At 52.7% G+C, this 11,695-nt stretch overlaps 1 protein-coding gene across 19 annotated transcripts in view, besides 2 other annotated features; it reads left to right on the top strand.

Moving 5' to 3' along the window:
* Positions 199-298: a silencer, noted in NCBI's record as "silent region_8569". NCBI's record gives its function as "represses an Ori minimal core promoter by ATAC-STARR-seq in GM12878 lymphoblastoid cells {active_cell/tissue: GM12878}" and the evidence as "EXISTENCE:reporter gene assay evidence [ECO:0000049][PMID:35858748]".
* Positions 319-368: a silencer, noted in NCBI's record as "silent region_8568". NCBI's record gives its function as "represses an Ori minimal core promoter by ATAC-STARR-seq in GM12878 lymphoblastoid cells {active_cell/tissue: GM12878}" and the evidence as "EXISTENCE:reporter gene assay evidence [ECO:0000049][PMID:35858748]".
* MPP3 (MAGUK p55 scaffold protein 3) overlaps positions 328-11,695 on the top strand; it is a 32,336-nt gene continuing 20,968 nt past the window's right edge. For 6 of the 19 annotated variants that reach the window (NR_148345.2, NR_003562.4, NR_148342.2 and 3 more), the window contains exons 1-10: positions 328-373; positions 655-713; positions 1,531-1,592; positions 1,797-1,915; positions 2,153-2,230; positions 3,367-3,447; positions 3,683-3,820; positions 5,642-5,723; positions 7,633-7,718; positions 9,469-9,543. Coding sequence is in view for 13 of the 19 variants with exons in the window: in NM_001932.6 (NP_001923.2) it covers positions 1,568-1,592; positions 1,797-1,915; positions 2,153-2,230; positions 3,367-3,447; positions 3,683-3,820; positions 5,642-5,723; positions 7,633-7,718; positions 9,469-9,543 (684 nt within the window). In the remaining 6 variants the exon portion in view is untranslated. Of the gene's footprint in view, positions 374-654; positions 714-1,222; positions 1,398-1,436; positions 1,593-1,796; positions 1,916-2,152; positions 2,231-3,342; positions 3,448-3,682; positions 3,821-5,641; positions 5,724-7,632; positions 7,852-9,468; positions 9,544-11,695 lie in introns of those variants that run through there. The other 13 variants (NR_148344.2, NM_001330233.2, XM_047436102.1 and 10 more) reach the window with 5 other exon arrangements.

Here is an 11,695-nt window from a genome sequence, read left to right as displayed (position 1 = left end):
GAGCAGGTGTCCACCCCTCCACTCGCGGAGGGTGGGTTGCGCGGGCGGAAGGGAAGTCTGGCTGTGTGCCAGGGTGCGGGGGGACACAGGCAGGGGACTCAGGGAGCGGGAGAGCGGGAGCGGGTACGACGCCGGCTAGCGGAGCCCGGCCCGGAGGGTGCGGCGGTGCCAGACGCGGAGGGCGGCCTCCGCTCCTCCCCCGCCTCCTCCCCGCGCCGCGCCTCCTCCCCGCGCCGCGCCTCCTCAGGCTCCGCCACCCCCGCCCGGCGCGGCAGCCGCAGGGAGGGGTCCGGGAAGGCGGAGCCAGCGGCGGCCCAGGCTCTGGGCACTCGCGCGGCTCCCGTTCGCGGAGCACACATCCCGGCGCGACGAGGTAGGAGGCCGCGAGGGGAACGGACGAGGGAGCTGGGCGCCGCGGCGGGAGGGGCGGGAGGCCGGGCCGAGACCCTCCTCCCGTGCTCCCGGACAGCCTCGCGGCCCACCGAGCCCACCGCGGGAGTCTCAACCCCGCCCCTCGGCCCCCGCCTCCCTCTTCCCGCGCCCGCCCCGCCGCGCGCCCCCCGCTCCCTGCTGCTCCGCGTCCTCCGGGACCGCCCTCCGAGGTCCCCCGGGGTCGCTGCTCCTGCGCCCAGTGCGCTCCTTGTTCTCCCACAGGTTCCTTCGGAGAGCGAGCGGGAGTCGGTGCTCGGCCTCCTGCGGGGAGCAGCCCGAGGGTGAGTCCGGCGTGGCGTGGCGGGGCGGGGCGGGGCGGAGGCTGGAGGGCCCGGGGCCGCTCTTACGCCTCTTAGTGGCACCGGGGCTCGGCGCTGCGGGCTGGCTCCATGTTTGCGGAATGAATCAGTCATGACTCTCCTTCTCCTCTTCCTAAGGAGGACTTTTTGAGGTCCACGTGCTGCAGAGCACCTTTGGAGGGCCTCATGAGATAGGGGTCCCCCCTCCTGCATAGTGGAAGCCCGACTCCCATTTCCCCCCCTCCTCTCTGCACTCCAGTCTGGAGGCTCCCTTTGGGTTGGGTCTTGGGGGGTCGGGGACAGGGGGCTTGTAGGCCCAGCCAGGTAGTTGTGGAAGGTGTGTCCCAGCAGGAGACTTGAGCCAGGGCTCTTAGAAGGTTGCAGTGGAGGGGGCGCGCTGCGGAGGACAGCTGACACTGTCAGGCAGGGTCACTTGGCACCTCCAAGGCCAGCCTGGAAGAGCCTGCTTGAATATGGATTTTGACCCACAGCTTACTGAAAGCTTCCACGCCGCTGTTTCTTCATCAATAAAATGGGAACATTCGCAGTCATTTCTCAGGACTTTGTGCAGACAAAAAGTTTATCATAGAAATCACCCCACACAATGCTTGGCACATCGAGGACACTCAGCACATCTTAGCTTTATTTCCTTCCTCTCTGAAAAAAGTAAGCAGAGTTATTTGTTCCCATCCTCTCTGTCCACAGCCTGGTCTCAGAGAACACAGTAGATGTGTAGTCAGTTTGTTCAATAAATATGCTTGATGGAGCTTCAATACCCACCTCCACCCCCTTCTCCCAGAATCTGCAGGGAGAGGTCGGGAGGTGACAACGCCAGCATGCCAGTGCTATCGGAGGACTCTGGTAAGTACCTCCCCCCGGCTGGACCTGCCACAGTCCTGAAGACAAGAGCCTGCCTGGCAGCCTCCAGGCCCTGGCAGTGAGAGCCTGGGGAGAGAATGTCCTCACGGCAGGACTGAAGTGCTGTTTGAGGCCCCACTCGGGCTCCTCGGGGGCAGGGAGCACCCACTGCGTTTGCTATCCTTTGTTTTTCTCACCTCTCCCCAGGTTTGCATGAAACCCTGGCCCTGCTGACCTCCCAGCTCAGACCTGACTCCAACCACAAGGAGGAGATGGGCTTCCTGAGGGATGTTTTCAGTGAAAAAAGCCTCAGTTACTTAATGAAGGTGAAGTCCCACGTCATCCTGCGTGGAAGGGTGTCTAGAGGTCTTTCTAGCTGTCTGTGGCCGTCTGAGGTCATCCTAGTCATCTCCCTGCCCCAGGAAGGCCTTCACTTGCCCACTACACAGGACTTTCTCTTATGGTGCCCTGTCAGTGGCCCAGTCTGCTGCCCCAAATGTCCCCACAGCCGTGGGTGGGATGTGTGGTGTCCAGGGTGCATCTGAAATACTCTGTCTTTGCAGATTCATGAGAAGCTTCGCTATTATGAAAGGCAAAGTCCAACCCCAGTTCTGCACAGCGCTGTGGCCCTCGCTGAGGACGTAAGCCCCAGGTTTCTCCTTACAGTGTCTGCCCCACTCCCCACCCTGTAGGGCTCCTTCATCTTGCCTCGCTTGCTTAGTGTGGGGACACCGGGAATCAGGAGCCCAAAGGTGAAGAGGTGTTTTCTTCCCTTGTCCTCCTCCTTCTCTTCCTCTCTCTGGGTTCCCCGAAAGGTAGGGAGGAACCCGTGAGCCTTGGACTGGGCTGGGAGACACTGTGACATGGAGCTGCCCACTTACTGTGTGTTCTTTAGCAAGTCTGCTTCCTCTGCTGTAAATGAGAGCATTGGATTGGCTCAGCAGTTCCCAAACTGCCCTGAGGACTGGTGATTTGAATAGGTCAATAAGACATTATGTCTGTGCTTTCCTGAAGTCAAGGGACCTACAGTGTGTCCCCGCATACTGGCTCAGGCTTCTCATTTTTTAAAGGAACGCTTCTTAATTTCTTGTGGACCTAGTCGTCTATGTTGCGTGGTTGGGGAAAACCCATTCTGGTTGATTACTAAGATCAGTTCCTGAATAAACTCACCTAACCCCAGGAGATGGCCTGGGGAGGGATGAGTGCAGCTTGTGGGTGCAGAGCCCTGGGCCCTTCTCCACTGTGGAATGTGATTAGGGGCACATTAGATTGCCTGGCTCCCAGGCTCAGCGCTGCCTGTCCCACCAGCTCTGTGATGTTAAGTAGGCCACTCAACCTCTCTGAGCTCCCATTTCCTCATTCATAAAATAGCATCTGAGAGCCAGATAAGCCCAGGTTCAAATCCTAGCTGTGCTGTATATGAGCTCTGTGACTTCGGGCAAAATGTTTAATCTCTTTGAGTCTCAGGATTCTCATCTGTAAAATGGCAAAGTAACAAGACCCTCTGCATCAAGTTGGTTGCGAGGGTTCAGTGAGAAGATCCACATAAAGCAGAAAGCACGTAGGGCTTAAAACGGTGGCTCCTTGGAGGATGGCCCCATAGAGCTGCTCCTGACCCCTGGTGTGATGTTCCCAGGATCATCGTCGTCGGGTGGTTGAGGGTCTGGTGTGCCCCTGGGGGCTGCAGCTGGGTGGGCCCTTCCAAAGAGGAAGGACCCAGCAGATATGGGGCAGGGGCACCTCTAGCCATCAGTGGCGCCTGTCTCATTCTCTGCAGGTGATGGAGGAGTTGCAGGCCGCCTCCGTGCACAGTGATGAGAGGGAGCTGCTCCAGCTGCTGTCCACCCCGCACCTGAGGGTAGTCACACAGAGCCCCTGCCCAGCCATGCCTCTGGGTCTCCTGGGATGGGGGCGGAGGGAGCTCTCCTAATGAGGCTGAGGAGTGGAGACTGAGGGAGCGATCCTCAGCACTAGTGTCTGGGCAGTTGTCTCTCTGGCATGGCGTCTGCCACCCTCCATACCACCGGCCAGCTGCGGCCTGCTGACCCTGTGAGCGGCGGGCCAGCCTTCCTTTTCTCTGGCTTTCCCGGCAGGCTGTGCTCATGGTACATGACACGGTTGCCCAGAAGAATTTTGACCCCGTTCTCCCGCCTCTGCCTGACAATATCGATGAGGATTTTGATGAGGAATCGGTGAAGATCGTCCGCTTGGTGAAGAACAAGGAACCCCTGGTAGGTGCTGCTGCCTGCCCCTCTCTAACCCACTCTTCCCCTGCCTCTCACCCCCACCCAGAACACTGGACAAGATCCTCCCCGAAGTCTTCAGAGTGAGTGACGGCAGCTTTGCCTGCGCTGCTGCTCATCCCTGTGGTGCCTCTGTGTGCAGGGCACCCCTTTCTCTAGGTGGATACAGCCCCTCTCAACTGTGGCCAACACCCTTTGTGTAGTTAATAACCTGCACAATTGTACAGGGTGACCCTGATCATGCTTTAAGCCAGAAATGGACAAACTACAGCCCAAGGGCCAAAACCAGCCCACAGCTTATTTTTTAAAATAAAGCTTTTTTGGAGCACAACCAGGCCCATTCACTTACAGATTGGCTGTGGCTGCCTTTATAGTGCGATGGCAGAGTTGAGTCGTTGTGACAGAGACTGTGTGGCTGGCCTCAAATATTTACATGTGGCCCCTTATAGAAAACGTGTGACAATGCCTGCTCTGAATGTTGAGGAAGCACAGGGCATTCCTCTCCCCAGCAGACAGACTGCTATCACTTTGGTCCTGGTTCAGCATTGATTTACCGAGCAAAGGGACAGCGTTGTTTATGAGATGCTCAGAAGTGGTGGAAGCCCAGAGAATTGAGATTGGCTCCAGAGGATCCCACAGCTGGCATTCTCTATTTCCAACTTTCCCCAAATGACCTCCGACGAGCCTCTTCTGCAAACAGACGAGGATCTCTCCTCTGCCTCTGTTTCCTCACTTGTAAAATGGAGTGGCCATCCATTGATTTAGCAAACACATTGTGAGCCCTCCTATCCAGGCTCTGTATTGGGTGCTGGCGGTTCAGAGCTGAATAAATGATGGATAGCGATGCTGGAAAGTTCTCAGTTCTGGGGGGCTAGAAGTCCTGAGGTTCTTAGCTGATGGCCTCTCTTTCTAGCAATAATTATCTTACGTACTTCAAATAGATGGCACAGATGATGTTAACAATAAGTGTGCAAATGTGTTTGCAGTTACAGCCACTAATAAGTGGTTAACATATGTTGAGTGCTTACTGTGTACTAAGTGCCTTGAGTGGAATCCTTGCAACAACACTGTGAGTTAAATGCTGTCCCACATCTCACAGGAAACAGGCTTGGAGAGGATAAGAGATTTCCTTGTTAAGTCCACATGCTTTTTGTAAACGGCAGAACTGTGTTCACACCCAAGGCTGTCCAGCCCTAGAGCTTAGCTCTTAAGCTTTCTGCCGTCCTGCTGCAGTCCGGCCTGTGTGGTGCAGGAAATCGAGGGCTCGTTAGTGCCTTTCTCATCCTAAGTGTCATCTCTGCTGTGCTTCATGGGCCAAGTCCTGGTCCCGAAGCCCTGGCTGGGGTGCATAATTGGTTTCCCTCAGCAGCAGCAGAAGGCCCGGTAACCCTGTGATTGGGTAGAGGCAGGGTGAGAATTAGCTGGCACGTGTCATCCTCATTATTAAATGTCTTTGCAAGTGGTAGGAACTGTGATATGAGAGAGATGTGATGGAGAACTTACTGGATTTGGCATCACAAAAAGCTTTCCCCTTTACCAGCTGGGTGACCTTGAGGATATTTAACTTCTCTGAGCCCCAGTCCCTCATCTAAAATGTTGCAGCATTATTGTGCCTTGTAAACTGTACAGTGCAGGGCTATATTAATGGGGGATGTTGGTTTTGTTTTGTCTTCAGCATTGGGAAGGTCCCCACTGATCTCTCTGGACTGTCAGAGGGAGGGACTGGGGAGGCTGTGTTGGGTCCAGAGAGTAGGGGTCTGAGGTTTGGAGCTGCTGCTTAAGAACCTGTCTCTTCTGTCTCGGGTTCAGGGTGCCACCATCCGGCGGGACGAGCACTCAGGGGCTGTTGTGGTGGCCAGGATCATGCGAGGAGGCGCAGCAGACAGGAGCGGTGAGTGGCGGCAGTGCAAAGCTGGCCCAGCCCCGATCATGGCCATTGTTCCAGAGCCCTCCACCTTTGCTAATAGGTCCCCTTACCTCCCTCCTATCAGGTCACCTGTTTGGGATTTGCTTTGCTTTCTGGGGTTGTGGCTGGAATTCTCATCTCCTTCCCAAGTCAGTAGAAATTTTAATAGAAAATATAGGCCAGCTGGGCATGGTGGTGCACACCTGTAATCCCAGCACTTTAAGAGGCCGAGGCAGGCGGATCACTTGAAGCCAGGAGTTCCAGACCAGCCTAGCCAACATGGCGAAACCCCATTTCTACTAAACACACAAACCTGGGAGGCGGAGGTTGCAGTGAGCCAAGATCATGCTGCTGCACTCCAGTCTGGGCAACAGAGTGAGACTCTGTCTCAAAAAAAAAAAAAAAAGAAAAAAAAAAAAAAGCCAGGCACAGTGGCTCACGCCTGTAATCCCAGCATTTTGGGAGGCCGAGGTGGGCGGATCACCTGAGGTCGGGAGTTCGAGACCAGCCTGACCCACACAGAGAAACCCCATCTCTACTAAAAATACAAAATTAGCCAGGCTTGGTGGCACATGCCTATAATCACAGCTACTTGGGAAGGCTGAGGCAAGAGAATCGCTTGAATCTGGGAGGTGGAGGTTGCAGTGAGCCGAGATCGCGCCATTGCGCTCCCGCCTGGGCAACAAGAGTGAAATTCCGTCTCAAAAAAAAGAAAAAAAGAAAAAGAAAATATAGGCCATGCACGGGTGGCCCACACCTGTAGTCCTAGCTGTTCGGGAGGCCCAGGCAGGAAGATTGTTTGAGCCCAGGAGTTTGAGGTTGCAGTGAGCCGTGATTACACCACTACACTCTAGAGTGGGCGACGCAGTGAGACCGTCTCAAAAAAAAAAGAAAAAAAAAAAAAATATATATATATATAAATAGTCATGGAGTACTTTGGGGTGATTGAGAAAAAGCTCATGCGTTGGTTTAGTCCAAGGACTGTGACAGTTAAGAATATAGCATGGGCTTGCGGGATTACTAACTGTGGGACAGGGTTGACACCCTTCCCCACCATCCCAGGTCTTGTCAAGCTACTATTACAAAGAGAGTGTTTGTGCCCCAGATTCGTTTGGGTAGAAAGGTTGAGAATCACCGGTGTGTGGAAGAGCTACTAAGCTGGGAGACAAACCTCCTGGTATAGGGCGATGTTACCCCCAAAGTCTGGGGGGTCATCGTTGCAGAGAATCCTAGACCAGCACTTTGCAAACATTAACGAGTCCACGAATTCCCTGAGCATCTTGTTAAAATGCAGACTGATTCAGCAGGTCTGAGCTAGGCCGAAGATTCTGCACTTTTAACCTGCCTCCAGGTGATGCTGATGCAGCCGGGCCAGTGCCCACTTTGAGTAGCATATAGGGCCCTAATATGCAGAGACATTAGTCATTCAGGCAGAGGCTCATAGTGTGTTTACACTCTTAATGATGTCTTCATTGGTGCCTTTGTCTTTCCTTGTTAAGACTTAAGAATGCCATTCTAAGAGTTAATGATAATTTTAAAGAAGCAGAGATTATAGCAAAAAGAACACAGGCTTTCTACATCATAATAACTGTGTTTGAATACTGGCTTCATTATTTCTCAGCAATGTGGCCTTAGGCAAGCTGCTTAATCTTCCTGGGTCTCAGGTGCCAACTTGTAAATTGGAGATTTTACTGGGTGATTTGAGCCCTGCATGCCGAGTGAGGTGCCCAGCACTTAGCAGGGCTTAGTTCGCCCCAGTCCCACCCATCAACTTTAAACCTCGAGTTGGCCCTGCAGTGGGCTTCTCAGGCCGGCCCCTGTGGTGCTTGGAGCTCTGAGCGAGGGGTGCTCAGGTCCTCCTCCTGTGCTGATGGTCAGTCCCTGTGTCTCCTAGGCCTGGTCCACGTTGGAGATGAGCTCCGAGAAGTGAACGGGATCGCAGTCCTGCACAAGCGGCCCGACGAGATCAGCCAGATTCTGGTCCGTGCTACAAGCCTGCTAGGGATGTGCTGGGTCTTCAGACACCCAGAGCAAGGCACTTCCTGGAGCCAGGACAGATTCTGGCTTAGCCTTGCTGTTGTCCTGAGGAGGTGGCAGGCAAAGTGGCCTTATGGTGTGCCCCTAACAGTGTGCCCGGGGTATGGGGTGGCAGCAGGAGGAGGGGAACTTCCCTTCCATCTGCCTCTCTTAGACCTTCTCCTCAGCACAGCCTTCCTTCCTTCCCCTGGTTCCCTTTCACAAGGCCCCTCCTGGGTCCTGGGTCCTGGGTGTGAATCCTGGCTCTGCCTCCTTCCAGCTGTGCAACCTTGGACAAGCCATCAGATCATCTGAGTTTCCATTTCCTTTCCTTTAACGTTGGGATAGAGTTTCTTTCTCAACCAATGTGTGGTTATCATTGGCATGCTAACATCTGGAAAAGGGTAAAGCCCTTCAGAAGTGTAAGGGGATTTTAAGGTATAAAATGCTTGGCTGAAAACCTCCATGGTCCATTCTGGGGAGTTGAAGTCAAAACTGAAATTGTGAAAAGCCCCAATCATAGCTTGGTCCCCTTTATCCTCAGGATTCCTCCCCTGACCTGACACTCTGCTAACTTCTGATGGTTTTGGGGGCAGAAACAGGATGAGATCTGAAAAGAGGAGGCCCACTGTTTAAAGCCCTCTCTGGGCTGGGCTCAGTAGTTCACACCTGTAATCCCAGCACTTTGGAAGGCCGAGGCAGGTGGGTCACCTGAGGTCAGGTCGAGACCAGCCTGGGCAACATGGTGAAACCCCGTCTCTACTAAAAATACAAAAAATTAGCTGAGTGTGGTTGTGGGCCCCTGTAATCCCAGCTGCTTGGGAGGCTGAGGCAGGAGAATTGCTTGAACCCAGGAGGTGGAGGTTGCAGGGAGTCGAGATCGTGCCACTGCACTCCAGCCTGGGCAATGAGAGCAAAACTCCATCTCAAAAAACAAAAAAACAACAACAAAATAAAGCCCTCTCTGTAGAGGATGCGGATTGCAGGCAGGCCCTTCAGTCCTTTTGCCCAAGCTTGCTTTTTTGTGGCTTTGGGTGCCAACCTTCTTGTGCTCCAGAGCAAGGGTCTGGGCTTTCTGGGTAGTGGAGAGGCCAGGAGGTGATCTTTTGGGCCCTGCTGTCCTGGTCCGACTGCATTCTTCCTTTGTTGGGCCCCTGGCATTGGGCTACAGGGTCTCTGTAGATGAGGGTGAAGGGAGCTCCTAGAAAGCTGGGCATGGCCTGAGACTGGGGAGATGGAAGCAAAGAGGGAAGTATTAATCAGAGACCAGCCCCAAATCAGGCAGGAAAGAGGCAAAGGAAACCGAAATGGGTTGTTCAGATGACCCAGGAGAAAAGCAAGGAAGGGAGCCCTCTGGGGCCGTAGCGGTCAGGAGGGATGGAGAATTGGAATTCAACACGTAGTGTCCTTGGGTTCTCATGGAAAGTCTTCCGTCCCTTTGACTTTTGAAAATACAGTTACCAACCCGCCACTGCTAAATTTGAACTGGCTTAAAAATAATAAAAATACTAAAAAATACAAAAATGTACAGTTACTTGGTTACTGAGTTTTGTTTTAGTTCATTCAACCAGGGCACCATCCTAGAAGAGTGGGCCTCAGGGGAGGCTGCAAGTCTGACTTTCTGAACATCAGTTTTTAGGCCTGAGAAGTAGGAGTTGAACTCTTGGAGGGTTAGACCTGGTAGGCGAGAAGCTTCTGTTCTCTTTCGTTTCAGGCCCAGTCCCAGGGATCCATCACCCTAAAAATCATCCCAGCCACCCAGGAGGAAGATCGCTTAAAGGAGAGCAAGGTATGGGGAGGTGGGTCCGCGGTGCCCTCTCTCAGCTTGAGAGATGCAGCTCGCTGGCTGGGGGCTGGATCCAGTCCAGTCTCTTGTAACAGTCATTTGCGAACAGATCATAGATCTGATCCTAGTAATCTGTGCCCAGTGGAGGACTTTAATTCCGTCACAAAGTGATGCATTTGTTTGTATCCTGCCTCTTTCTAAACAGGATTTGACGTGGCTTACTAATAAAAGACAAGGTTATTTTAATTGAAATAGAAACTCAGGGCCATGAAGAGGAGGAGAAGGTACCAAGTGTGCTGAATTCTGAACCAATTAAGCAACTGCCATTTGTTTAATTGTTGCTGAGCCTGCCTTATTTGGTCACCTACTCTGTGCCAGGCACTCTGCCAGATGCTGGAGACAGGGACTCTTGGTAGCTGCAAGGCTTCCTGGTGCAGAAGGGCAGCAAGTCTTTCATTGCTATGTGATAAGTGCTTTGCCAAGATTCTGTACAAAGAGTTACAGTCACCCTAGAGGGTGTCACAGAATGGGGGTGTTGGAACTGAGGCCTGAAGAAGGTAAAGACGAGTAGGACCTTGGTGGGGTCTGCCCATACAGAGGCTCCCTGGCACTCTGGAGAGGAGCACGTTAAGGGCTATGTGGTGGGGCTTTGAGGGGAGGATGGTGGTGGGTTTTGCTGGGGAGGTGGGTTAAGCCTATGTTCTGAATGGCCTCGAATGCCTTGTTAAGGGTTTTGGCATAATCCTTGCTTAGTGTGGGGCCTCTTAGAAGCTGACCCTGAGACAAGGATTGAATGCAAATGGTTTATTTGGGAAGTGGCCCCAGGAAATACCAGTACAGGACTGGGAAAGGGAAGACAGCCAATCTGACTAAGGGTGTGTTATCAAGCAGGTTACCACTATGGGCAGCTGGAGCTTAGTCCTGCTGGGAACTTGGGGAACTACTTCTTCCCCTGTAGAACACACGCCTCCATCATCCCACCCAGGGGCCCTGGGAGCTGGGCGATCTATATACCAACTCCTGCCAGGCTGCACCCGGGGGATTAATTCCTAGCAACTTCTGCCTGCTGGACTAGAGATGAGTAGGTTCCAGTGGCCAGAGAAAGTAAGTCCTTAGGCAAAGAGATGCAGGTGCTGGCAGCTGGAAGTCAGCCCAGGCTGCACTGAATGGTCCAGCCCTGGGGCATATGGGAGGGCATCCCACAGCCCAAGAGATAATCCCATAGGTTCTAATAAGCTCTTTTTTTTTTTTTTTTAGGATGGGAGTGGTGCAGTTATATTTGTGTTTTAGAAAGCTCCGTGAGGCAGCCACGGGGAGGAGGGTGGAGTGGGTAGAGGTTGGAGGCAGGGAGGCCTGGTAGAAGGCTCTTGTAAAAGCCCAGGTGAGACGTTAAGACCTGAACTGTGAGATGGTGGTTGATGAGATAGAGAGGAGGGCATCACTTTGATTTCATAGTAGAGTTTCCTGGCAGCCAAGGCAAAAAGGAGAGCATAATGAATTACATACTGTTGAGCAGAGAATGGAAGGAAGCATGCCAGTTTTTCAAGACATTCCCATACCTGCCTCTCAGTACTTAATGCATGAAAGAAGAAACATTACAGCATCTAGCACAGAGGAGATGTCAGTCGATACTTTGAAGAATGTGGATTTGTAATGGACTACGTCTTCAATGACAGTTTTTTACAGCAAGTGAAGAAATAATCTTTATATAGCTGTTTCTTATTTGTGCTCTTTGGTTAAATCCCAGGGCATAATATTTCCTCTTACCTGGTGGAAAGTGATTCTTCCTAGGACAAGCGAATGTGGTCCGCACATGCAACTTTGAGGGTTCTGACTTGAGGAAACCTCTTTGAGGAAGAGAACTTGGTTTTCCTAAAGGACAAAATGAGTAGCCTGTCCCCCAGCCTGTCCTTCTTGAATATTTCTTCTTGATCCAGATGCTTGATTTGGGCTGGCCACTTAAGATTACATTCTTCTGAGTGCTTAGGACCCTGGTAACATCTGTGGCTGGTTAAGGGCATCTGTCCCCACAACATATGCCAGAAAGTTCTTACTGTTGTCCAGTGGAATCTTTTCTGGTTGGCATACAAAGGAATAGAGTTTGTATCTGTCTGAGGAAGACCCCTGATTGCTTTTTTTTTCCTGTTTGCCACTG

This window comes from Homo sapiens, chromosome 17 (genome assembly GCF_000001405.40).
Source record: "Homo sapiens chromosome 17, GRCh38.p14 Primary Assembly".
NCBI classification, from domain to species: domain Eukaryota; kingdom Metazoa; phylum Chordata; class Mammalia; order Primates; family Hominidae; genus Homo; species Homo sapiens.
The sequence above is the reverse complement of the archived record's forward strand: the minus strand, read 5'-3'. Positions and strand labels throughout refer to the sequence as shown.